General features: G+C 52.7%; 1 protein-coding gene across 3 annotated transcripts in view, besides 3 other annotated features; it reads right to left on the reverse strand.

The window, feature by feature from the left end:
- The window catches only part of TNXB (tenascin XB), a 68186-nt gene that overhangs the window by 14207 nt on the left and 30877 nt on the right, over positions 1 to 23102 (reverse strand). For all 3 annotated transcript variants that reach the window (NM_019105.8, NM_001365276.2, NM_001428335.1), the window contains 13 exons: positions 18288 to 18593; positions 16631 to 16939; positions 14768 to 15055; positions 14194 to 14502; positions 13463 to 13777; positions 13031 to 13348; positions 12302 to 12625; positions 9462 to 9758; positions 6798 to 7124; positions 6038 to 6361; positions 2699 to 3031; positions 1227 to 1544; positions 492 to 815 (listed from right to left, as the gene is read on the reverse strand). In NM_019105.8, the coding sequence (NP_061978.6) occupies positions 492 to 815; positions 1227 to 1544; positions 2699 to 3031; positions 6038 to 6361; positions 6798 to 7124; positions 9462 to 9758; positions 12302 to 12625; positions 13031 to 13348; positions 13463 to 13777; positions 14194 to 14502; positions 14768 to 15055; positions 16631 to 16939; positions 18288 to 18593 (4092 nt within the window). The remainder of the gene's footprint in view (positions 1 to 491; positions 816 to 1226; positions 1545 to 2698; positions 3032 to 6037; positions 6362 to 6797; positions 7125 to 9461; positions 9759 to 12301; positions 12626 to 13030; positions 13349 to 13462; positions 13778 to 14193; positions 14503 to 14767; positions 15056 to 16630; positions 16940 to 18287; positions 18594 to 23102) is intronic.
- Positions 15191 to 16191: an enhancer, noted in NCBI's record as "H3K4me1 hESC enhancer chr6:32038327-32039327 (GRCh37/hg19 assembly coordinates)". NCBI's record gives its function as "activates a minimal SCP1, AML or CMV promoter by ChIP-STARR-seq in naive H9 embryonic stem cells {active_cell/tissue: H9 hESC(naive)}" and the evidence as "EXISTENCE:reporter gene assay evidence [ECO:0000049][PMID:30033119]".
- Positions 17086 to 17942: an enhancer, noted in NCBI's record as "H3K4me1 hESC enhancer chr6:32040222-32041078 (GRCh37/hg19 assembly coordinates)". NCBI's record gives its function as "activates a minimal SCP1, AML or CMV promoter by ChIP-STARR-seq in naive H9 embryonic stem cells {active_cell/tissue: H9 hESC(naive)}" and the evidence as "EXISTENCE:reporter gene assay evidence [ECO:0000049][PMID:30033119]".
- Positions 17978 to 18478: an enhancer, noted in NCBI's record as "H3K4me1 hESC enhancer chr6:32041114-32041614 (GRCh37/hg19 assembly coordinates)". NCBI's record gives its function as "activates a minimal SCP1, AML or CMV promoter by ChIP-STARR-seq in naive H9 embryonic stem cells {active_cell/tissue: H9 hESC(naive)}" and the evidence as "EXISTENCE:reporter gene assay evidence [ECO:0000049][PMID:30033119]".

Raw genomic sequence — 23102 nt, forward strand, 5'->3', positions numbered from 1 at the left:
GTGTCCGGATCAGGGCAAGGAATTCTTTGCTGAATGAACAAATTGGCCCATTGGTGAGAAAGGTCTGTTCCTATTCCTATTCCAATAGTGGGCTTCCAGAGTGTGCAGTCGACGCGCTGCCCCTCACTGCCTTCTGTCTTCCTTCACGGCCCCTAGTCAACTCCACAGAGAAAGCACACTACCAGGAATCAGGGACGCAGAAAAATTCTCTTCAACAGATTTCAAAAGAGGGTCCAATTCCTTTGTCGTGAAGAACTTTGCTACTCAAGGGGCGTGATCATGGGCCAGCAGCATCCGCATCATTTCTTGTTGGAAATGCAGAATCTCTGGCCCTAGCCCAAACCTGTTGAACCCCAATCTGCCTCTTAGCAAGATCCCCAAGCATGGAAACGTGCAAAAGAAGCCCGGCTGGTGAGAATATTTTTGTTTTCATGAAGTTGCAGAGAAAGCAACATCTTCTAGGGCCATCTTCCTCACTCACAAACACTCACCTGTCACACCCACGGTGGACACCGGGCCCACACGCCGCCCCTCGTGGAGGCCGTACAGGTGCATCTTGTATTTGCGCCCGGGCTCCAGGCCCCCCACGGTGACCTCGCTCTCCTCGCCCCTGACACGCATCACCTGGGGCCGCCCGTCCCTGTCCTTGTACTGCACGGTGAAGGAGTCGAAGTGGCCCTGGGGGATGGTCCAGGAGAGGCTCAGCGAGTCAGGGGAGGATCCTGTCACTGTCAGCTCCCCCAGGAGCGGCTCCTCAGGGGGCTCCGGGGCCTCAGTGCTGAGTTCCGTGGGGCTGGGGGTCTCTTCCTCTGCAGCTGAGAAAAGGAGATATAGAGAGGATGCCAGGTGCCTGGGGGATGTGCTCAGGTCTTCAAGGGAAGGAGGGAGAAACCATGGCCACTACTGGGTATGTGAGGTCATTTCAGAAAAGCCCATTCTTGGGGCTGGGTGGTCCTGCTCAACTGACAGCTAACACACATGACAAGTTCCAGGGTCAGCTGTGGGGGACCTGGGACAGTCACCAGCACAGCAGAACTCCTGATGGCCCCTCCCTGCTCAGGAGGAGCCAGGGGTCAGCCTCAGAGGAAGGCCCAAGGGGAGCCCCAGCCACAAGCAGGTCTGTGGTGCTGACCGGACCCCTGGCCCATTCCCCACCAGTCATCACCAAAGAGCAAGAGGGTGACCCTCCCACGGCTCCCACCCTGGGGCTGCCATCATCCACTCACCCGTCACCCCAATGACAGAGATGGGGCCCACGCGCTGGCCACCGTGGAAGCCGTACAGGTTCATCTTGTATTTATGGTCTGGCTCCAGGCCTGAGATGGTGACCCCGTCCTCGTGCCCCGGCACCCGCACCGCCTTGGGCTGCCCATCCCCATTCCTGTACTGGACCAGGAAGTGGTCAAACTGGCCCTCGGGAACCGTCCAGGACAGGCTGAGGGAGTCAGGGGTGGCATCTGTCATGGTCAGCTCCCCCAGGCGAGGCTTGATGGGGGGCTCAGGGGTCATGGTAGGCACTGCTTGGGTGGTCTCGGCTTCATCCTCTGGAGTTGGACAGACACGTGTGGGGACAGTGAGGTCCCTGGCTCCTCAGTTCAGCATAGAAAGGATGTGTCACAAAACACAAAGTGCCCAAGAGCAGGACGATGCTGCCCACAGCCCCTCCAGCACAGCTCTTCATCCTCTCCTCTCCTGTGGCCTTTCCTATCCCTCACCCTGACCCTCCTGCCCTCAGCCCCCACCTCACCCCCACCTCCCAACACCCAGGCCACCTCTCCCTGTCCCTCCAGCACCGCCTCTCTTTTGAGCACAGCCCCACTCGGCCTCTGCACCCCTGGCCTCCCAGCACTGGGGTCTCTTCGCCATCTTTTGTTCACTGGGCTTCTGTCTTTGCTCCGCAACAAGCTCAGCACACTCCTCCCGAGGCCAGAGCCTGGGGTGTGTTCCTGGATCCAGCTCCTCACCAGCTGCCAGCAGCCTCAGAGCATCTTTACCCTGAATTCCCCTGGATACCTTCCTACCCCACCTCCAGTCCCCGATCCTAGTTTGAGCCACTGTCACCTCTCACCAGGGCCACCAACTGCCTACTGGCCTCGCTGCCTCCAGGCTCCCTGCCACCCCATCCCCATCTTCAGCCCCCACGGATGAGCTTCACACAGGCACAGCTGCTGGGGCCATCTCAGCACAGACCTGGGCAACCACATCCTCATCCCTGGGAGACCCCAGGCCTGGTGAGTGGTCCCCTCCTCTGCTCCCACACTTCAGGATGAGATACTCACCGTAAAGGACACCCCACTCAATCCTCAGTGCCTCTCACGTGCCATGCTCTTTCTAGCCTCCTGGCCTTTGCACCAGCTGTGATTATCTGACACACTTCACCTTCTCTCTAAAGCTGTCACCAAGCTAAGGCATGCCTGGCCTCAGGTCCTGGCTGTCCCCTGGGTACCCATGGGCAGGGTGACTTAGGCGTCCCTGTCTGGTCCTGACCTGAGCCCTGGGCCTCCCTATCACATGCTCACCCGCCTTTGCTTCATTTGCTGGATTGCAGCCTGTCTCTCCATGACATGTCTTTCCATAATGTTGCTATATTCCTTTCACTGTGAGCCCCATCAAGACAGAAATATGTATAGGAAAATGGTAGAGAAGGGCACATTTTCTAGGGCTGTCTTCCAACCCTGCCCCACCCACACTCACTCACCTGTGACGCCCACGGCAGACACCGGGCCCAGGCGCCGCCCCTCGTGGAGGCCGTACAGGTGCATCTTGTACTTGCGCCCAGGCTCCAGGCCCCTCACAGTGACCTTGCTCTCCTGGCCCCCAACACGCACCGCCTGGGGCCGCCCGTCCCTGTCCTTGTACTGCACGGTGAAGGAGTCAAAGCGGCCCTGGGGGACGGTCCAGGAAAGGCTCAGCGAGTCAGGGGAGGATCCTGTCACTGTCAGCTCCCCCAGGAGAGGCTCCTCGGGGGGCCCTGGGGCCTCTGTGCCTGGTTCTGTAGGGCTGGGGGTCTCGTCCACATCCTCTTGTGGGGCTGAAAGGTAATATAGGGGGATACAGAGTTTAAGGGTTTAAGGGCAACTTGCTTTGCTGGTGCTGTCAACAGAGGTCATACATCAAATGTGCCCCTCCAGAGCAGGCTGAGGGCTGGGGCAGCTTTGTGTTCGCCGTTCAGTGACTCTTGGAATAAGAGCCGGTGAGGTATCCCCGAGCCCCCGGCCTGTACTGCTGGCAGAGCTGCACTGTTAGAAACCTCCAGAAGGCAACTGAGACATAGTGTCAGGAGCCAAAGTAATTCTCATTTCCTTTGACCCAATAATCCCAGTTCTGGGCATCTGTCCTAAGAAAATTATTAAAGCAGGAAAAAGTTATAGCATGGAAGAACTCACGATGGGGTTATTCATGACAGCAGATGTGTCAGGAACACAAATGACCCGTAGAAGATGATTAATTTTGTTATAGTGCTTTCACCGCAACGCATCAAATAACCATTGAAACGATGATGAATGCTGGTTGTGTAGCCGTGAGGTGAATGATTACAATGTACTTGTGTACAAAAAAGGAAGTGCCAAGAACTTTATGAACACTGATTGCAACTTTAAAACACGCTCTGCATGCAAAATACAGGAAGGGAATGTGCACTACACACATTGTTATTAATGCCGGCAGCTGGGGGAGAAAGTAGGACTATGAGATTCTTGTTTTCTGTTTTTCAAGCTTTCCACATAATGTTGCTGTATTATTTTCACTAGAAAAACGTGGGCTAAAAAAGAAATTCTGGGCTGGGAGCAGTGGTTCACGCCTGTAATCCTAGCATTTTGGGAGGCCGAGGCGGGTGGATCACCTGAGGTTGGGAATTCGAGTCTAGCTTGGCCAATATCATGAAACCCGGTCTCTACTGAAAATACAAAAATTAGCCAGGCGTGGTGGCATGCACCTGTAATCCCAGCTACTCAGGAGGCTGAGGCAGGACAATCACTTGAACCTGGGAGGCAGAGGTTGCAGTGAGCTGAGATCACACCACTGCACTCCAGCCTGGGCAACAGAGTGAGACTCAGTCTCAAAAAAAAAAAAAAAAAAGAAAAAGAAAGAAAGAAATTCTGGGCTACAACAATTAATAATAGAGTGTGGGGTGGGGGTGGGGCAGCAATACACATAGAACAGGAGGGGCAGGGGTGGGTCCCTCAGCCTGTCCTCTGTCAGTTCTGTGGTTCCCCACAGTGGAGACAGGAACACAAAACTGAACGTGGACCAGGACAGCTTACCCCCGGAATGTGAATTTTTCTAATGTTCATTTTCCAATAATTTCCCTATTCCCCCTGTTTCCCAACACTCAGATGGTCCTCTGAACATGCATATGGAAATGAGGCCTCTCCCCCAGGAATCGGGGATGCCGATTGAGAGTGCTTCCTCTGTCTGGATGGCCTTTGGGAGATGAGCTCGCACCTCACTTGGTGCCACAGAGGTGGCGACCTGCCCTGCAAGAGACCGCCTCTCAGCAGGGCTGATTCTTCCCCATCGGTAGGAATTCTCGAAAAATACTCTAAGCCAGGCATAACAACCTGGCTGAGGATGACTTAGAAAAGGCAGCCTGACTGAGCATTTGGAATTCAATTAACCTCATGATCTCCACCCCTCCAATTTCTTATGGACTAGAAATTTTGAACTTCCTCATAATTAGAAATGAAATAAGTCTGGCTGGGCGCGGTGGCTCATGCCTGTAATCCCAGCACTTTGGGAGGCCGAGGCGGGCAGATCACCTGAGGTCAGGAGTTTGAGCAGCCTGACCAACATGGAGAAACTCCCTCTCTACTAAAAATACAAAATTAGCCAGATGTGGTGGCGCATGCCTGTAATCCCAGCTACTCGGGAGGCTGAGGCAGGAGAATCGCTTGAATCCAGGAGGCAGAGGTTGTAGTGAGCCGAGATCATGCCATTGCACTCCAGCCTGGGCGACAAGAGCGAAACTTCATCTCAAAAAAAAAAAAGAAGGAAATAAATGAAATAAGCCACAAGAGCGATAGAGGAGTAGGACAGATGGAGTGTAAAGAAGGAGAAGACATTATATATTTTCTCTTTTCCCTTTCCCTGATTGTAAAAGAAATGTTTGCCATTTAAGAAAATTTGGACTATGCAGAATAGAATAATACAGAAAAAAATGTGCTGGAATATTCTATTCTATCTAACAAATCAGGCAACCCGTGGGATGTGTTTCTTTCCAGTCTTCTTGCCATGCCTGTTACTTTCAAATGGTTGTGATTAGCATCCTTACAAAAATTTGGGCTCCTTTTTCTTCTTTTTTGAGACTGAGTTTGGCTGTATCTGCCAGGCTGGAGTGCAGTGGTGATCTCGGCTCACTGCAACCTCTGCCTCCCGGGTTCAAGCAATTCTCGTGCCTCCACCTCCCAAGTAACTGGGATTACAGGCATGTGCCACCATGCTTGGCTAATTTTTGTATTTTTAGTAGAGATGGGGTTTCACCATGTTGGCTAGACTGGTCTGGAACTCCTGACCTCAGGCGATCAGCCCGCCTCGGCCTCCCAAAGTGCTGGGATTACAGGCGTAAGCCACTGTGCCCAGCCTAGGCTCTCTTTTTTCAATGTAACATTATAAAGTAAGGGTCTTATGTTAAAACATTTCAGTGGCGGCATAATAGCTCTTTTTATAGATGTTGCCTAAATTATTTAGTCATCCCAACGTGGTTTGACGTTGGATTGTTCCTCTTGTGTGCATTTGTGTATGTGGTTATAACAAAGAATGCTGTTATTAAGATGGAAAGAAAGGAAAATTCTCGTAAGTCAGGCTTGGTGTGCGCCTGACATATTTCACTCTTGGAGGTTATCAGTGGTTGACCATTAGAGGGAGGCCACGCCAAAGTGAACAAGCAAACCGCTAGCATAGGCCACAGCCACAGGGCACAGAGGGAGGGCAGGACACAGGAGACAAGTCTGGACCCACAGGGCTTGGTGAAAGGGCACAGCAGTAAACCAGGTACCCATGAGGGAAAGGTGGTTACCCCGAGACTCCAAGCACTACTCACCAGTCACGCCCACGGTGGACACCGGGCCCACGCGCCGCCCCTCGTGGAGGCCATACAGGTGCATCTTGTATTTGCGCCCAGGCTCCAGGCCCCCCACGGTGACCTCGCTCTCCTCGCCCCCAACACGCACCACCTGGGGCCGCCCGTCCCTGTCCTTGTACTGCACGGTGAAGGAGTCGAAGCGGCCCTGGGGGACGGTCCAGGAGAGGCTCAGCGAGTCAGGGGAGGATCCTGTCACTGTTAGCTCCCCCAGGAGCGGCTCCTCAGGGGGCTCCGGGGCCTCCATGCTGGGTTCTGTGGGGCTGGGGGTCTCTTCCTCTGCAGCTGAGAAAAAGGGACACAGAGAGGATGGCAGGGTCCCTGGGGGATGTGCTTACGTCGTGGGGAAAAGGAGGGAGAAGGCTATGACTAGGGGACATATGAAATAGCCAAGGCTATGACTAGGGGACCTGAGGTCAGTTCAGAGAGGCCCATTCTTGGGGTCCTGCTCAGCTGACAGCTAACACACATGACAAATTCCAGGGTCAGCTGTGGGGGACCTGGCACAGCCACCAGCACAGCAAAACTCCCAATGGCCCCTCCCTGCTCAGGGGGAGCCAGGGGTCAACCACACAAAAAGGTACAATGGGAGCCCCAGCCCCAGCCACAAGTAGGTCTGTGGTGCTGACCAGACCCGTCCCATTCCCCACCAGTCATCACCAAAGAGCAAGAGGGTGACCCTCCCATGGCTCCCACCCTGGGGCTCCCATCGTCCACTCACCTGTCACCCCGATGGCAGACACGGGGCCCACACGCTGGCCACCGTGGAAGCCGTACAGGTTCATCTTGTACTTGTTGTCTGGCTCCAGGCCGGAGATGGTGACCCTGTCCTCATGTCCTGGCACCCGTGTTGCCTTGGGCTGCCCATCCCCATTCTTGTACTGGACCAGGAAGTGGTCAAACTGTCCCTCGGGAACCGTCCAGGACAGGCTGAGGGAGTCAGGGGTCGCATCTGTCACGGTCAGCTCCTCCAGGCGAGGCTTGATGGGGGGTTCAGGGGTGGGAGGTTCTGTCGAGGCTGGGGCCATTTCTTCATCCTTTCCTGGGGCTGCATCAGAAAATAGAATGGGTGGGCATGCCTGGTGGGCCTCCTTTTAACCAAGGGACTCTGGGATTCTCTTAGACACACCAAGGGCCCACAGTCTGGATGCTGGTGCCCCAAGCTTAGAATATCATTTTTCTGCTTTGAATGTTCAGTTAACACCACACCTGTGGTGAAGTCATGATGCTCAGGTGGCATCCCTGTGATGCTCAGTGTGCAGGCCTGGGACCCTTAGGAGCTGCCAAGCAAATTTGTTTTGCAGGACAGAATTGATGCTTTATAAGAACACCAACCAGGGCCGGGTGTGGTGGCTCAGGCCTGTAATCTCAGCACTTTGGGAGGCCGAGGCGGGCGGATCATGAGGTCAGGAGATTGAGACCATCCTGGCTAACACTGTGAAACCCCGTCTTTACTAAAAATACAAAAAATTAGCCAGGCGTGTTGGCGGGCACCTGTAGTCCCAGCTACTCAGGAGGCTGAGGCAGGAGAATGGCATGAACCCAGGAGGCGGAGCTTGCGGTGAGCCAAGATCACGCCACTGCACTCCATCCTGGGAGACAGCGAGACTCCTTCTCAAGAAAAAAACAAACAAACAAAAACAAACAAACAAACAAAAAACAGCAATCAGGGCCAGGCGTGGTGGCTCAGGCCTGTAATCCCAGCACTTTGGGAGGCCGAGGCGGGAGGATCACCTGAGGTCAGGAGCTTGAGACCAGCCTGGCCAACATGGCGAAATCCTGTCTGTACTAAAAATACAAAAATTAGCCAGATGTGCTGGTGCATGCCTGTAATCCCAGCTACTCGGAAGGCTGAGGCAGGAGAACTGCTTGGACCTGGGAGGCAGAGGTTGCAATGAGCTGAGATCGCACCACGGCACTCCAGCCTGAGAGCCTGGGTGACAGAGTGAGACTCCATCTCAACATAAAGAAAAAAAAAAAAAAGAAAACAAAGAACACCAACCAAACACAACAGGCAAGTTGTATCAGGAGGTTCATCCACCTGGGCTTGGAAATTCCACCTAATCCTGAGCATTTTTAGAAACCAACTTAGATTTTATAGCTGAGGGTAGAGAGATGAGACCACATGAGGGCATCTTTGCAGCTGAGTTGTCTCTGGACCTGCAGTAGCTCTGCTAACTTACGGCAGAGAGAGCACCTCCAGTGATGCCAGTTCTTTTGGCCCGTGTGAAATCAATTGCTTTGTTTTCATTGATTTCTTTAATCTTTTCTGCTCTTCATAGGGTTTTATTCTGCCTTGATAGTGGTATTACAAATTCATCACATTTCATTTGTCTGTTCTTTTTGAGAACTGAGTCTTAAGCATCTAGGGGGTAACAGCTATAAAAGAGCTTACAAAAGCATCAAAGAGCCGAGTTACAGGGTAATGAAAGGAAAATGCCTTATTAAGTTGTGCACATGGCCAATATTTACAATTAAAGTAATAGTATCCATGTTAACAGGATTCAGTGTTGTTTTAAAAATAAATGGGTATTAATTTGGGAGCTTAGAGAACACATACAATTTTTCCCACTGAAATCAGTGATAATTATGAGAATTTGCCCTAAGCGGTTTTCAGGAACTACCTACCTTCCTCAGAAGGGAAAGACTGCAGTTATCTCTCATTGTGTGTGAGAGCCAAGCCACACTCCCGCCCACCCTTCACGACAGGTATGGTTATTCCTTCTTTACAGATGAGGAAAAGGATGTACAGAGAGGTCGTGTGTCTGTTTTTTGTTTGCTTGTTTTGTTTTTTTGAGACAGGGTCTCACTCTGTCACACAGGCTGGAGTGCAGTGGCTCGATCTCGGCTCACTGCAACCTCCGCCTCCTGGGTTCAAGCGATTCTCCCGCCTTAGCCTCCCGAGTAGCTGGGACTACAGGCATGTGCCACCACACCCAGCTAATTTTTGTATTTTTAGTAGAGATGGGGGTTTCATGATGTTGGCCAGGCTGGTCTCGAACTCCTGACCTCAAGTGATCTGCCCCCTTCGGCCTCCCAAAGTGCTGGGATTACAGGCATGAGCCACCGTGCCCAGACAGGTTGTGTGAGTCTCTTGAGGACACACAGCTCAAATGGGCTGAAGCTATGGTCAACCCCAGGTGTGCCTCAGTCTGTGTTATTTTCCTGGTCCCCCACCTCTTTGGGAACCCAAAAAGCCCATGTGTAACGGGCAGAAGACCTGGGGCAATACCAAAGTCTCGGAGTGAAGGCACCAGCAGAACCATTCCCAGGAGCTTGGGAGGCTTGGTCTCAGGGAAAGTAAAATAAAGCCACCAGATACTGACAATAAAAGGGAAACTGAGTCTAGTTCAGGGCAGGGCCCAGTGCCCTACTGCACACTCACCAGTTAAACCAACAGCAGACACGGGGCCCACGCGCTGGCCACCGTGGAAGCCGTACAGGTTCATCTTGTACTTGTGGTCTGGCTCCAGGCCCGAGATGGTGACCCCATCCTCGTGTCCCGGCACCCGCACCGCCTTGGGCTGCCCGTCCCCATTCTTAAACTGGACCAAGAAATGGTCAAACTGGCCCTCGGGGACTGTCCAGGAGAGGCTGAGGGAGTCGGAGGTGATGTCTCTCACTGTCATCTGCCCTAGGCGCAGCTTTGCAAGAGGAGCATCAGGGGACTCCTCTTCGGGGGCTAGGAAGAGATAGAAACAGAATCTTTTCTCTTGCTGCAAGGAGGTGTTGAGGCCCCAGCTGTCTTGAATTCAGGTCAGAAGGTGGGCCCAGTCTGGCCCTAACTTAAGATCGATTTCTGATTATAATCATAATCAGATTTTGTGGCTTCCTTATGGTCCCTCAACCATGCCAGGCAGCCTCCTACCTCAGTACTTTTACAATGACTGTTCCCTCTACCTAAATGTTCTTTCCCCAGATATCTTCATGGCTCATCCCCACACTTCCTTTAAGTCTTTGTTCAAAAGCCACCTTCTTCTGTGGGCCTTCCCTGATTACTCTATTTAAAATTTCAGTTTTCTCAATTGCAATGTATCCTCCTTCTATAGACCTGATTTCAGCAACAAATTGGGAAACAACAATTATGAGACACTCGGGAGACTGTAGCACTACCTGGATACTTGATATCAAGGCATGATTGTTCACTTATCAAGGTATGCTAATTGTATTGTGGAATTTTATTATTTATTTATTTATTTTTTGACACAGAGTCTCACTCTGTCACCCAGGCTGGAGTGCAGTGGCGCGATCTTGGCTCACTGCAACCTCCACCTCCTGGGTGCAAGCAATTTCTTGTGCCTCAACCCCCGCCAAGTAGCTGGGACTACAGGCACGTGCCACCACGCTCCGCTTTTTTGTACTTTTTAAAATTTATTATTATTATTATTATTTTTAGTAGAGACGGGGTTTCACCATGTTGGTCAGGCTGGTCTTGAACTCTTTACCTCAAGTGATCCACCTGCCTTGGCCTCCCAAAGTGCTGGGATTACAAGCGTGAACCACCTCACCTGGCCATATTGTGGATTTTTTAAAAATAATTTTTTTAAAAAGAGATATACCTTTAAATATTTAGTGATGAAAGCATAGGATGTCTGTGGTTCGTTTTTAAAATACTGCAGTAGTATAACCACACAATGCAATACTGTTTGGCAATAAAAAGCAGTGTAGTGGCTGAGAGAGAGCAGGTGGCTCATGCCTGCTATCCCAGCACTTTGTAAGGCCCAGGCAGGAAGATTCCTTGAAGCCAGGAGTTTGATATCAGCCTGGGTAACACTGTGAGACCCCATCTCTACAAAAAATTTTTTTAAATTAGCTGAGTGTGGTGGCGAGCACCTGTGGCCCCAGCTACCTGGGGGGCTGAGATGGGAGGATGGCTTGAGCCCAGGAGTCTGGGGCTGCAGTGAGCTATGATCATGCCACTGCACTATAGCCTGGGCAATAGAGTGGGAATTTGTCTCAAAAAAAATCAATCAATCAATCAATCAATCAATCAATAGCAATGTAGTAAGTATAGTACTTCTACATGCTACATTGATGAACCTCAAAAACATTATGCTCAGTGAAAGAAGCTAGACACAAAAGAATACATATTGTTTGAGTCCATTTATACGAAATGTTCTGGAACAGCAATCTACAGAGAAAAAAGTAGATTAGTTATAAACTAGGGCTGAGGTAGGAATGGGTCTGGACCCAAGATTTCTTTTGGGGGTGATGGAAAAGTTCTAAAATTAGATCGTGGTGATGGCTGCACAAGTAGGTAAAGATACTAAAATCAGTAAGTTGTACACTAAAAACAAGTGTATTTTATGCCACATGAATTATATCTCCATAAAGGTGTTAATAAAGAAAACATTCAGGCCGGGTGTGGCGGCTCACGCCTGGAATCCTATCACTTTGGCTGAGGTGGGAGGATAACTTGAGCCCAGGAGTTCGAGACTGGCCTGGGCAACATGGCTAAACCCTGTCTCTACAAAAAATACAAAAAATTAGCTGGGCATGGTGGAGTGCACTTGTAGTCCCAGCTATTCGGGAGGCTGAAGTGGGAGGATCCCTTAAGCCCAGGAGGTTGAGGCTGCAGTGCAGTGAATTGTGACTGTGCCAGTACACTCTAGCCCAGGCGACAGAGTGAGACCTTGTCTAAAAAGAAAGAAAGAAAAGAATGAAAGAAAGAAAGAAAGAGAAAGAAAGAAAGGAAGGAAGAAAGAAAGAAAGAAAGAAAGAAAGAAAGAAAGAAAGAAAGAAAGAAAGAAAACATTCTAGTGATTCTAGTGGAGGAAGTGGGTGGGGCAGAGATGAGCCAGACTGGCCAGAAGTCGATATTTGATTGAAGGAGGATGGCAGGGTCTTTGTACTATTCTTTCTGTTTATACATTTGAAATTTTATTTAACAAATACTTATTAATTTAATTAATTTGTATTTCAAAAATGTGTTCCAATCTCACAAAAAGAGTTATGTATAGAGTTCCAAGGAAAAGCGGAGAGCCACAAACCAGCCAGTGAATCACCTCCCAAGAGGCCTCAGTCCCTGGGGGCCTTTCCCATATGGCTCCGACACTTCTCCTGGATTTGCTCTCTCTGTCCCCAGATCACACCTGTCCTGAGCCTTTAGTGAACAGGGTGTATTACAGGTTTGAGGTCTTGGGGTTCTGGGTCCCTAGTGGAGGAGATGCTGGAGGCTGTACTTTGCTAAGACCCAACCCAGAGGGCTCTGCAGTGCACACTCACCCGTGACGCCCACAGCAGACACTGGGCCCACGCGCCGCCCCTCGTGGAGGCCGTACAGGTGCATCTTGTACTTGCGCCCAGGCTCCAGGCCCCCCACGGTGACTTCACTCTCCTCGCCCCCAACACGCACCACCTGGGGCCGCCCGTCCCTGTCCTTGTACTGCACGGTGAAGGAGTCGAAGCGGCCCTGGGGGACGGTCCAGGAGAGGCTCAGCGAGTCAGGGGAGGATCCTGTCACTGTTAGCTCCCCCAGGAGCGGCTCCTCAGCGGGCTCCGGGGCCTCCATGCTGGGTTCTGTGGGGCTGGGGGTCTCTTCCTCTGCAGCTGAGAAGGAGGAAGAGAGAGTGAGGGGGATGTCCTTGGGTACTGGGGAAAAGGAGGGAGAAGCCAAGGCTATGACTGGGGGACCCGAGGTCAGTTCAGAGAGGCCTACTCTTGGGGCTGGGTGGTCCTGCTCAGCTGACAGCTAACACACATGACAAGTTCCAGGGTCAGCTGTGGGGGACCTGGGACAGCCACCAGCACAGCAAAATTCCCGATGGCCCCTCTCTGTTCAGGAGGAGCCAGTGGTCAACCTCACAGGAAGGCCCAAGGGGAGCCCCAGCCCCAGCCACAAGCAGGTCTGTGGTGCTGACCAGACCCTTGTCCCATTCCCCACCAGTCATCACCAAAGAGCAAGAGGGTGACCCTCCCATGGCTCCCACCCTGGGGCTCCCATCATCCACTCACCTGTCACCCCGACGACAGACACAGGGCCCATGCGCTGGCCACCGTGGAAGCCGTACAGGTTCATCTTGTATTTATGGTCTGGCTCCAGGCCCGAGATGGTGACCCCTTCCTCGTGCCCTGGCACCCTCACTGCCTTGGGCTGCCCATCTCCATTCCTGTACTGGACCAGGAAGTGGTCAAACTGTCCCTCGGGAACTGTCCAGGACAGGCTGAGGGAGTCAGGGGTGGCATCTGTCACGGTCAGCTCCCCCAGGCGAGGCTTGATGGGGGGCTCGGGGGTTGCGGTGGGAGGTTCTGAAGGCTTCTCCTCCTCCGGGACTGGACAGAGACATGGAAAGAGAGGACTGAGGTGGGCAGGGTATCCGCGGGACTCTGCTGTCCTCTGGACTCTCCCAGCCATCTGAAAGGAGGCATAGTGGGCAGAGTTCTCACCTGTCAGGGCCTCGACATGGACAGGACCTACATGCTTCCCATCACTGAAACCATACAGGGTCACCAGGTATCTGTGGTCGGATTCCAGGCCAGAGAGGGTGATGTCATTCCGGTCACCTCCTATGCGGACCATTTGGAGTTGCCCGTCTCTATCTGTGTACTGGATTTCGAAGGAGTCAAATTCTCCCTCAGTCACCATCCAGGAGAGATGCAGGGTGTGTGACGTGGCCTCCTCCACTGTCAACTCCCCGAGGTGGGGCTCAGGCGCTGGAGGGGTCGGGGCCGTGGTCTCAGTTTCCGTTTCTTCCCTGCCGGCTGGTTCACAGAGACAGGTAGAGACAGATGGCTGGTGTGTCGCTGCACCCAGACTCTCAGGAGGAGTGAGGGAGGAGAGGGAGTGAGGGCAAGCAGTCAGCAATCGAAAGACCAGCTTTTGCTGCACATGGGTGAATTTCAAAAGCATTGTGCTAATTGCAAGAAATGAAACACAAGAGACTGCGTATTGTGATTCCATTACATGGAGAGTCAAAATGCTGTCTCCAGGATGATCGAAAGCAGACAGTGGTTGCTGGAGGCTGGGACTGGGGCAACTGACTCTAAAGGGGCACAAGGAAACTTTCTGGATCAATGGAAATGATATAAAATGGGAAGCTCAGAGATCTTATGGCTCAGTCAGACCAGGAGAGCCAGGCGGGAAGGAGGCACAGGTGTTCCAGCTGCCGCACACTCACCAGTAATGGCGACGGCCGAGATGGGGCCCACACGCTTGCCGTGGTGCAGCCCGTAGAGCAGCAGCTTGTACCTGTGGGCAGGGTCCAGGCCCGGCACGCTGACCTCCCTGAGGCTGCCCTCCACGGGCACCACCTGGGGCTGCCCGTCCCTGTCTTTGTACTGGACCACAAAGGAGTCAAACTGGCCCTCAGGGACTGTCCAGGAGAGGCCCACGGAGTTCTGGGTCACGGTGGTCACCTGCAGCTCCTCCCCCAGACGGGGTTTTGGGGGACGCTTTGTTCCAGTATCATCCATAGCACTCCGGGCTTCTGAGATGGAGACACGGAGAGGAAACGGCTGAGCTGTTTCTGGAAGACTGGGTGACCTCGACGGGCAGGATTGAGAGGTCTGGAGACAGGGCTTTGCGTGGCTGAGTCCTGCCGGGCTGTGCTAGGGGCTTGTGCAGGGACGTGGGGAGCTGGATCTGAGCCGAGTGGCTGGGGCCAAATAATGGTAATGGCAGCCACCACAAGTGACCGTCTGCTGCTTGGCCTGAGGGGAGCAGAGCAGGGACCTGCAGGGAATGCCCCTCACCCGTGGTGCCGTCGGCAGTGAGAGGGCCATGGCGCTTCTTGCCCAGGAGGCCATAGAGGAGGAATCTGTACTTGCGGCCGGCATCCAGAGGGGTGACAGTGACAGAGCGCTCATGGCCCTCCACGGGCACCACCTGGGGCCCGTCTTTGTCCTTGAACTGGACCACAAAAGAGTCGAACTGGCCCTCAGGAACCGTCCAGGAGAGGCGCAGTGAGTCTGGGGTGGGGTCTGTCACCCACAGCTCCCCAAGGCGGGGTGGGGCCCCTGGGCTGGCGTCACCTCGGGCAACTGGAGAGGAAAGGTTCTTGTGTTTATTTTTTCCAAAACGACTCCTTGACTGCCTCCCTCTGGGGCTGGAAAAACCCAGAACTGCCCAAATGCTCAGTGCTTCCCCAAAATATTTCCATCACCTCCCATCCTCACCACCATCTCCGTCTGGTCCATGCCTCTCTCCCCTTGACCCAAGTGGGGAGGGTCACCTGTCCTGAGTCACCTCCAGGAAAAGAGATTCCCTAGCTCCCTGCCTCATCTTACTCCCCTTTCTGTCCAGCCTCTTTCCGCCTCTCACAGACTGCTTCCCCAGCAGGGTGCAGCTTCTTACAGACTGGGTCTCTATCTCCTCTTACCCAGGAGCACACGATTTGGCCGTGATTTGGCCGGCCCCTGAGGAAAGGGGTGATTTGGCCGGCCCCGAGGAGCGCAGGATCCCTGATGGGGGCACTCGGCAGGTCAGGGAGGCAGGATGTTACGACACAGGTAGTTCTCACCCTTCTCCGTTCCCTTTCTTATTCTGCACCGGCTGGCCCGGGAGAACTAAGGCTCCCACTGGGCCTGGTGAAGGAGCGTGGGCTGCCTGTGAGAATGTTGAGGGGGATGATGCCGGGGAGCTCAGGCAGGGAAGGGATCTGGTGTCTGCCTGAGGAGCCATCCCAGGGCTTGAGAAGGAGCTGGCCTGCTGCCTTCCTGGACGGTGAGGACGCTGACGACATTGTTATTGCAAGTTTTCTGGCAATAGGGAGCCCCCAGGGGCAGGGGAGGGCTTGGACTGAACCCTCGGAAAGGGGCACAGCTGGGCTGGGCTCCTCTGGTTCCCAATTTCTGAGACTTCAGGAGGAGGGCAGAGAAGGAAGGGCAGCCTCTGTAGGAGGCACATATGGGCCCAGACAGGCCTGAGCTAGGAGGGTGAGAACCTGGGTGAGAGTCACAGGGGAGACAACAAAGACTCTCAGGAGGTGATGGATTCGCAAGGCAGGAAGGGTTCCTGGCTCCCCTCGCCCCTTCTCCCAGCACCCCCAGGCTCCCACATCCACCCTGCAGGAAGAGGCCTGTAGGGGCTTCCCTCATCCAACAAAAGTGGAAATTACGAGAAGAGAGGCAGAGTCAGCAGGGGACAGCAGACCCAGGAACTGGCCCCACTCTCCTGGTCCTCATCTGCTTTGCGGCTTTTCTTTCTTTTTTTTTTTTTTTGGTCTTTTTTGAGACGGAGTCTGGCTCTATCACCCAGGCTGGAGTGCAGTGGCGCAATCTCAGCTCCCTGCAGCCTCCACCTCCTGGGTTCAAGTGATTCTTGTGCCTCAGACTCCCGAGTAGCTGGAATTACTAGCACCCATCACCACACCCAGCTAATTTTTGTCTTTTTAGTAGAGACAGGGTTTTGCCATGTTGGCCAGACTGGTCTCAAACTCCTGACCTGCCTTGGACTCCCAAAGTGCTGGGATTACAGGCATGAGTCACTGTGCTAGCCCCATGTGGCTTTTCAAATGAGACAGAGCAGGTGGACAAAGGGAAGACTCAGCAGAGGGAGTGAAGAGAAGGGTGGGAAGGCTGTGGCCTCAGGCTCAGCTGTGTAGGGGCCCATCTCACCCGTCTTTGCCTCCACAGAGACTGGGCTGCGTCGTTTCCCATCCTGGATCCCAAAGAGCAGGAACTTGTACTTGCGGGAGGGTTCCAGGTCAGGGATAGTGACCTCCCGCTGATCTGCAGCCACGGGCACCACCTGGGGCTGCCCGTCCCTGTCCTTGTACTGAACCACAAAGGAGTCGAATTCACCCTCAGGGACTGTCCATGAGAGGCCCACAGAGTCAGGGGTTATATCCGTCACTGTCAGCTCCCCTAGGCGTGGCTCCAGGGGAGGCTTGGAGGCCTCTGTGGCTGGGGCTGGTGGGAGGGGAGCTGGGATTTGGGAAGACAAAGAACATGGTTGAGATCTCTGAGGGGAGAACCCCTGGGCTTTGAGGGCCTCAGGGGGGCTGTGAACTGAGATGGGGAATAGTTACACCTTTACTTCCAGACCTCTAACTGAAATGCAGCATTTCTTTCCAAAACTAATATAGAAAACCCACCAGAGTAGAATTATTGTGACTTTGTTACCAATAGAAACCACAGATGTTTTCATGTCACCTTAGAGTTATTGCAGAAACTTTAAAATACCTTTTATATCCATCACTGCTTCTAAATTTTGTAGTTTAGTAAACGCGCCACCAAGTCCTGTTATTTAATGAACTAGTAAATAAGTCCAAGTATTACTAAATCGTAACTTTGGATTTTTAAGAAATATTTTGGGCCGGGTGCAGTGGCTCATGCCAGGCCGAGGCGGGTGGATCACCTGAGGTCAGGAGTTTGAGGCCAGCCTGGCCAACATGGCGAAACCCTGTTTCTACTAAAAATACAAAAAATTAGCTGGGTGTGGTGGCACGTGCCCGTAATCCCAGTTACTCGGGAGGCTGAGGCAGGAGAATTGCTTGAACTTGGGAAGCGGAGGTTGCAGTGAGCCGAGATCGCGCCATTGCACTCCAGCCTGGATGACAAGAGCAAAACTCCATCTCAAAAATAAAAAAGAAATATTTTGATAACTGTCTATAAATATAATGTTTCCTTTGTAATCCTATACAGCTTATTTTACAGATTTAAAAACATTGCCTTCAGGTGGGGTAGGGGTTTCACCAGATGCCACAGCACAACAATCATGGAGAACCTGTGCCCAGGAAGCCATGAGGGGCAGGAAGGAGCCCAGAGCAAGAGTGAGGCAGCCTCCTGGAGAGATGAAAACTCTCCAGGGCTGGGATGGAATGCAGTGCAGGCAGGTGGCAGAGGACTCCTGAGAAGGGACTCAGGATGTAAAGCACTTCGCCTCAACAAAAAAGGGCAGAAGCAGGAGGTGGCAGCTGTGTCCAAGTCACAGCAGGGTTGTAAAGAGAAGGGGTGGAAACAGCTGTGGGCAGTCGGAGAGGGGGAGAGAAAGTCTGTGGCTGGATTTAGGCCAAATGGAAATAAGACATTCCCCTGGGCGGGGGGCAGAGTGGAGATGGGGAAGGAGCTGGAGGGCTGAGAAGGCTCTAGCCCTGGGAGGAGTAAAGGGGTCAGGGAACAGAAAGACTGGCAGGGTCACCGAGCCAGGGCCTGAGGGGATCTAGCCCCTCAGTGAGGGTGCGGTGGTACCAAGGCAGGGCTGGAAGAAGGGCCATGGGGTGGGGGAGCTCTGGGTAACCAGAGATGAGGACTGAGTCCCCCCATTACTCACCCGTCACGATGACCACAGACAGGGGGCCCATGCGTTGCCCATCATGTAGTCCATACATGTTCATCTTATATTTTCTCTCAGGCTCCAGGTTGTAGACTGTGACCTCTCGCTGGTCTGCCGCCACCGGCACCACCTGGGGCTGCCCGTCCTTGTCCTTGTACTGGACTATGAAGGAGTCAAACTGGCCCTCGGGGACTGTCCAGGAGAGGCCCACAGAGTTGGGGGTCACATCTGTCACTGTCAGCTCTCCTAGGCGTGGCTCCAGCGGGGACTCAGTGGCTGGAGGGGTCTCTTCTTGTTGTGGGGCTGGGACAGAGATGGTAGGGGGCTGTTAGTAAAGAATCCCCCTTTTCTTATAGTAATGATGTCTAGTTATTTATTTTTTATTTTTTATTTTTGAGATGGAGTCTCGCTGTCACCCAGAGCAGTGGGCGACCTCGGCTCACTGCAGCCTCTGCCTCCCGGGTTCAAGCGATCCTCCTGCCTTAGCCTCCCAAGTAGCTGGGACTACAGGCGTGCGCCACCATGCCTGCCTAATTTTGTGTGTGTGTGTATTTTTAGTGGAGACGGCATTTGCCATGTTGGCCAGGCTGGTCTCAAACCCCTGACCTCAGGTGATCCACCTGCCTCAGCCCCCAAAGTGCTGGGATTACAGGTGTGAGCCACCACACCCAGCGATGTCTGTTGCATTTGTGGAACCCGCATGATGGTTTTGATGTAAAAGCGCATTGATCTGAACATCTGTCTGGTCAACAGTCCTTCACTAGGTCCCTGCTCGGTGTCTGAGGCTGCATTTGTTGGGGGAGAAGAGTATCAACCATCACTGACACCCTGGGAGAGCGCTGAAATTCCATCTATATGCCAATGACTCCAGATTTACACCCTCTGTCCAGACCTCTCCTGAACCCCAGACTAGTGTTCGTGCAACGTCTTCCTTGGAGGCCTACTTGTGTGTCAAACTCAACAAGTCCAAAACTGAGCCTCTGAGCTTCCTGACACCTGCTCCCGCCACAGCCTCCCCACCTCAGTAAGATTACAACTTTTTTTTTTTGAGACGGAGTTTCGCTGTTGTTGCTCAGGCTGGTGTGCGATGGCGCCCTCTCGGCTCACCGCAACCTACGCCTCCTGGGTTCAAGCGATTCTCCTGCCTTAGCCTCCTGAGTAGCTGGGATTACAGGCATGTGCCACCACGTCCGGCTAATTTTGTATTTTCAGTAGAGATGGGGTTTCTCCACGTTAGTCAGGTTGGTCTTGAACTCCCGACCTCAGGTGATCCGCCCGCCTCGGCCTCCCCAAGTGCTGGGATTACAGGCATGATCCTCCACGCCTGACCAGGATTACAACTTCATTCTTCCAGCTGCTCAGATCTAAACCGCCAGAGTCATCCCCGAGTCCTCTCTTAAACTCCACATCCGCCCTGTGGGTATCCGCCTGTTGTCACTACCTTCAGAGTCTGACCCCTCCTTGCCACCTCCAAGCACCACTGGCTCCTCCTGGATTATCACAACATTCTCTCAGGTCATCGCCTTCTGCCCTCACCCCCCTTTAGTCTGTTGGGTCTGCAGCCAGAAGGATCCTGTTAACACATTAGCCAGAGCTGGTTCCCGCAGTGGCTTCTACCTCACTCAGGGTGAAATCCAAGTCCTGCACTGGCCTCTGAGGTCCCATATTCATCTCTTAGATCATTCCCTATTGCCTGCCCTCCTCCAACTCCACCACAAAACATACTGCATTCCTCACTGTCTGCAGACATCTGGGGCTGCTTCTCGCCTGCCAGTCTCTGCATTTGCTCTTCCTTCTGTCTGGGATGCTCTTTCCCCAAAGGCCTAGGTGGCTGTCCTCTCACCTCCTTCAGGGCTTTCCTCAGACACTGCCCTCGCAGTGAGGCCCTTGCTGTCTCCCTACTAGGCTCTGCTTTTCCCCACCACTCATCACTGTCACATCCGGTGCCACTGACATATTTGTGCAATTTGTTGCCTGTCCCTCTCCACTAGAATGTGAGCTCCTCAGGCAGGAGCTCTGCTTTATTCACTGCTGTGTCCCAGTCCCTGGCACACAGTAGGTGCTCCACAGATGTCTGTAAAATAATGAGTGGTCTACAGGTCTGGGCTCAGGACCTGCAGATCCCCACCACTCCCGCATGAGGAAGCACTCATTAGTGAGCAAACTAGAAGGTGGTCCCAAGAGGCAAAATGGCAGAGAAGGTGGCTGGATGGGTGGGGCTCCCAAGAACTTGTTTCTCTGGCTTCCTCCGGAGGGCAAGACAAGGCTCCAAGCAAGTGACAACTGCTTAAAACAGGCTGGTGACCAGGCCTCGGGCAGACAGAAATGAGTCAGGCTGGGGAGGGCAGGCATGGAGGCAGCTGAGGTGGTGGGAGGGAGCAGAGTGACCACCAAGTATTGAACATCTACTATGTACAGGTACCAGGCTGGGCATTTTCTCTCATTTCATTTGCCTTCTAACCTTACTTGTTCCTGCAGCACCCATTCCCTGCTCCTTTTTGCCCTCTCTGCACTTCTTTCCATGAGGGAATGAAAATGTCCTTCACCATCAAGCTTTATTGCTGGTGGTTTGGATTAACTGGAAAGGTACAATTATAACGATTCATGACTCTGGCAGTCCCCATGCTGCATGTGGGACAGTCCTTTTCCAATTTAGAAGTGTGTCTAATGAGCTCCACGCACCTCTCCCCCTGGCAACTGCACTGTGTGTGCTGCCAGACACAGCCCCCAGCTTGGCGGACTCCAGCTGCTTCGTCCTTTTGCTGCTCTGATAATGCGCACTGATGCCCATTTCTTTCCTAAAGGGCCTCATCTATTTTATCCAGGACGTGTAAAATACATGTTTCAAAATATCCAGCATTAGAACATGGATATACAGGGATTCCCTCACGGGAAGGTCTGAGCAAAAGATGAATGAGCTGAGAAGATGCCAGACATGTTACATCACCACCTTTAACCGTGACAACAAGCTGGGCAGCGTTTACTCCCTCCTGAATATGAGGAAGCTGAGGTTCCAGGAGAGGAGGTAAGTTTTTCAAGATCATACAGCTGGCTGGGCACGGTGCCTCACGCCTGTAATCCCAGCACTTTGGGAGGCCAAGGCGGGTGGATCATCTGAGGTCAGAAGTTCGAGACCAGCCTGGCTAACATGGTGAAACCCTGTCTCTACTAAAAATACAAAAATTAGCCGGGTGTGGTGGTGGGCGCCTGTAATCCCAGCTACTTGGGGGGCTGAGGCAGGAGGACTGCTTGAACCTGGGAGCCAGAGGTTGCAGTGAGCTGAGATCATGCCACTGCACTCCAGCCTGGGTGACAAAGCAAGACTCTGTCTCAAAAAAATAATAATAAAATAAAAAAATAAAAATCATACAGCTGAGAACAGAGGAAGACAGGAAGGAACTCAGTTTGTCAGATTCCCAAACTCCATTTATCTCTACTGCACCGACTTGGTCAGTGCCTGACAGAGCCCATCCTTACCCCAGGGACCAGGCACAGGGCCTCACAGAGCCCAGTGTGGGTCCCTGGGACAGAGCGGCAGAGGGAGGGTCACTCCAGGAGCAGACTTGGCAGCATGTCTGGGCCTGGCACCAGCCTCCACCCTACAACCTCAGGCCCCAAGGACAGCCACTCAGGGTGGCTTTGCCGTCTCCCTCTTCTCAGGGCTGACTGAGGCAAAGAAAATAAATTGAGGGTGGAAGGTTCTGGAAATGAAATCAACCAAGTCATGATGAGGCTGAGCTTGGTGGAATTACAGAAACCATGTTCTGGAAAACTATCTATTTCTCTACTTTTAATTTTTTAATCTTTCCCCTTATAGTAAAAGTTATTTTTGAGAAAGGTGTGTCTTTGTTTCTGTGAGCAAAGGAAAAAAGAGATTCCCCTCACTGTGACTAAACCGGGCAGGTCAGCCCGAGGGTCCCAGAGGCACTGCTGTCCACTCAGCCTCTTGGGCTGAGGCCCTGGAGAGGAGGTGCCCAGGCTGGTCCTGTGTGGTGGTGGATGTGGCCCTGTAACCAGGCCTGAGAGAAAGGGTGGAAGGGATGTTCTTCTTTGCTGTAAAGTCACTCACTGGATGAGTATTAAAGAAAGCCTTGTGGCCGGGCGTGGTGGCTTATGCCTATAATCCCAGCACTTTGGAAGGCCAAGGCGGGTGGATCACTTGAGGTCAAGAGTTTGAGACCAGCCTGGCTGACATGGTAAAACCCCATCTCTATTAAAAATACAAAAATTAGCCAGGTGTGGTGGTGCATGCCTGTAATCCCAGCTACTCGGGAGGCTGAGGCAGGAGAATCACTTGAACCTGGGAGGCAAAGGTTGCAGTGAGCCAAGATTGCACCACTGCATTCCAGCCTGGGCAACAGAGCTCAAAAAACAGAAAGAAAGGAAAAAAAGAAAGAAAGAGAGAGAGAGAGACAGAAAGAAAGAGAAAGAAAGAAAGAAAGAAAGAAAGAAAGAAAGAAAGAAAGAAAGAAAGAAAGAAAGAAAAAGAGAGAAAGAAGAAAGAGAAAGCTTTGTGGTCAGGCGTGGTGGCTCACGCCTGTAATACCAGAACTTTGGGAGGCCGAGGCAGGTGGCTCACTTGAGGATCTGGAGTTTGAGACCAGCCTGGCCAACACGGTGAACCCCGTCTCTACTAAAAATACAAAAAAGTAACCAGGTGTGGTGGCACGCATCTGTAGTCCCAGCTATTTGGGAGGCTGAGGCAGGAGAATCACTTGAACTTGGGAGGCAGAGGTTGCAGTGAGCTGAGATCGCACCACTGCACTCCAGGCTGGGCAACAGAGTGAGACTCTGTCTCAAAAAAAAAAAAAA

The sequence above is a fragment of the Homo sapiens genome, chromosome 6 (genome assembly GCF_000001405.40).
Source record: "Homo sapiens chromosome 6, GRCh38.p14 Primary Assembly".
NCBI lineage: Eukaryota > Metazoa > Chordata > Mammalia > Primates > Hominidae > Homo > Homo sapiens.